The following is a 2410-nucleotide window of genomic DNA, read 5'->3' on the forward strand; positions in this document are numbered from 1 at the left end:
TCTTAAAGAAAAGAATTTTCAACCCAGAATTTCATATTCAGCCAAACTAAGCTTCTTAAGTGAAGGAGAAATAAAATCCTTTACAGACAAGCAAATGCTGAGAGATTTTGTCACCCCCAGGCCTGCCCTAAAAGAGCTCCTGAAGGAAGCACTAAACATGGAAAGGAACAACCGGTACCAACCACTGCAAAAACATGCCAAATTGTAAAGACCATCAAGGCTAGGAAGAAACTGCATCAACTAACAAGCAAAATAACCAGCTAACATCATAATGACAAGATCAAATTCACACATAACAATATTAACCTTAAATGTAAACGGGCTAAATGCTCCAATTAAAAGACACAGACTGGCAAATTGGATAAAGAGTCAAGACCCATCAGTGTGCTGTATTCAGGAAACCCATCTCACATGCAGAGACACATATAGGCTCAAAATAAAGGGATGGAGGAAGATCTACCAAGCAAATGGAAAACAAAAAAAGGCAGGGGTTGCAATCCTAGTCTTGGATAAAACAGACTTTAAACCAACAAAGATCAAAAGAGACAAAGAAGGCCATTACATAATGGTAAAGGGATTAATTCAACAAGAAGAGCTAACTATCCTAAATATATATGCACCCAATACAGGAGCACCCGGATTCATAAAGCAAGTCCTTAGAGACCTACAAAGAGACTTAGACTCCCACACAACAATAATGGGAGAATTTAACACCCCACTGTCAACATTAGACAGATCAACAAGACAGAAAGTTAACAAAGATATCGAGGAATTGAACTCAGCTCTGCACCAAGCAGACCTAATAGACATCTACAGAACTCTCCACCCCAAATCAACAGAATATACATTCTTCTCAGCACCACACCGCACTTATTCAAAAACTGACCACATAGTTGGAAGTAAAGCACTCCTCAGCAAATGTAAAAGAACAGAAATTAGAACAAACTGTCTCTCAGACCACAGTGCAATCAAACTAGAACTCAGGATTAAGAAACTCAGTCGGAGGAATGTCAACTATTAACATGGAGGCGGAGGTCGATAAGCTGGAACTGATGTTCCAGAAAGCTGAGTCTGATCTGGATTACATTCAATACAGGCTGGAATATGAAATCAAGACTAATCATCCTGATTCAGCAAGTGAGAAAAATCCAGTTACACTCTTAAAGGAATTGTCAGTGATAAAGTCTCAATATCAAACTTTGTATGCCCGCTTTAAACCAGTTGCTGTTGAGCAGAAAGAGACTAAGAGCCGCATTTGTGCTGGTATGACTAAAACTATGAATGTGATACAAAAACTACAGAAGCAAACAGACCTGGATCTGTCACCACTGACTAAAGAAGAGAAAACTGCGGCAGAGCAATTCAAATCTCACGTGCCAGATTTATGAAGAAATGGACTTGGAAAGGAAATTCTAACAGAGAAGAGCTTAATTCCAGAGAAATTTAGGAAGATGTCTTGTTAACCCTTGATGTCTAGAGATTGGGGGCTGGTGAAGGAAGTTTGGCTTCAATGACTGGATAATGATGTCTTTCATGAGAGAGACTATAAGAAGAAGGGCAGATAATATATGAATAAAGTTCAGCCAAAAGGATTAAATGAGAATAAAATGATTTAAATATATGTACACACGCATGTACACACATACTTAGTCTTGTAATTTCAGGCCAGAAAATCTCTTAACACTATTTTGCATGTGTTTTCTTTTTCTAAATCATGATAATGTAGAGGTTCTGGTCTATCATAAAAGAATGTTTATGTACATTTCAGTCATTCGGTATGTGGCCTTGTAAATTAAAGTATAGGCAAAACAAAAAAAAGAAGAAGAAACTCAGTCAAAACCGCTCAACTACATGGAAACTGAACAACCTGCTCCTGAATGACTACTGGATACAAAACGAAATGAAGGCAGAAATAAAGATGTTCTTTGAAACCAATGAAAACAAAGACACAACATACCAGAATCTCTGTGACACATTCAAAGCAGTGTGTAGAGGGAAATTTATAGCACTAAATGCCCACAAGAGAAAGCAGGAAAGATCTAAAATTGACACCCTAGCTCTGCAATTAAAAGAACTAGAGGAGCAAGAGCAAACACATTCAAAAGCTAGCAGAAGGCAAGAAATAACTAAGATCAGAGCAGAACTGAAGGAAATAGAGACACAAAAAAACCTTCAAAAAATCAATGAATCTAGGAGCTGCTTTTTTGAAAAGATCAACAAAATGGATAGACTGCTAGCAAGACTAATAAAGAAGAAAAGAGAGAAGAATCAAATAGACGCAATAAAAAATGATAAAGGGGGTATCACCAACGATCCCACAGAAATACAAACTACCATCAGAGAATACTATAAACACCTCTATGCAAATAAACTAGAAAATCTAGAAGAAATGGATAAATTCCTCGACACA

At 37.3% G+C, this 2410-nt stretch overlaps 1 pseudogene; it reads left to right on the plus strand.

Moving 5' to 3' along the window:
* Positions 1005-1811, plus strand: SKA2P1 (spindle and kinetochore associated complex subunit 2 pseudogene 1; annotated as a pseudogene).

The sequence above is a fragment of the Homo sapiens genome, chromosome 9 (assembly GCF_000001405.40).
Source record: "Homo sapiens chromosome 9, GRCh38.p14 Primary Assembly".
Lineage (NCBI taxonomy): Eukaryota > Metazoa > Chordata > Mammalia > Primates > Hominidae > Homo > Homo sapiens.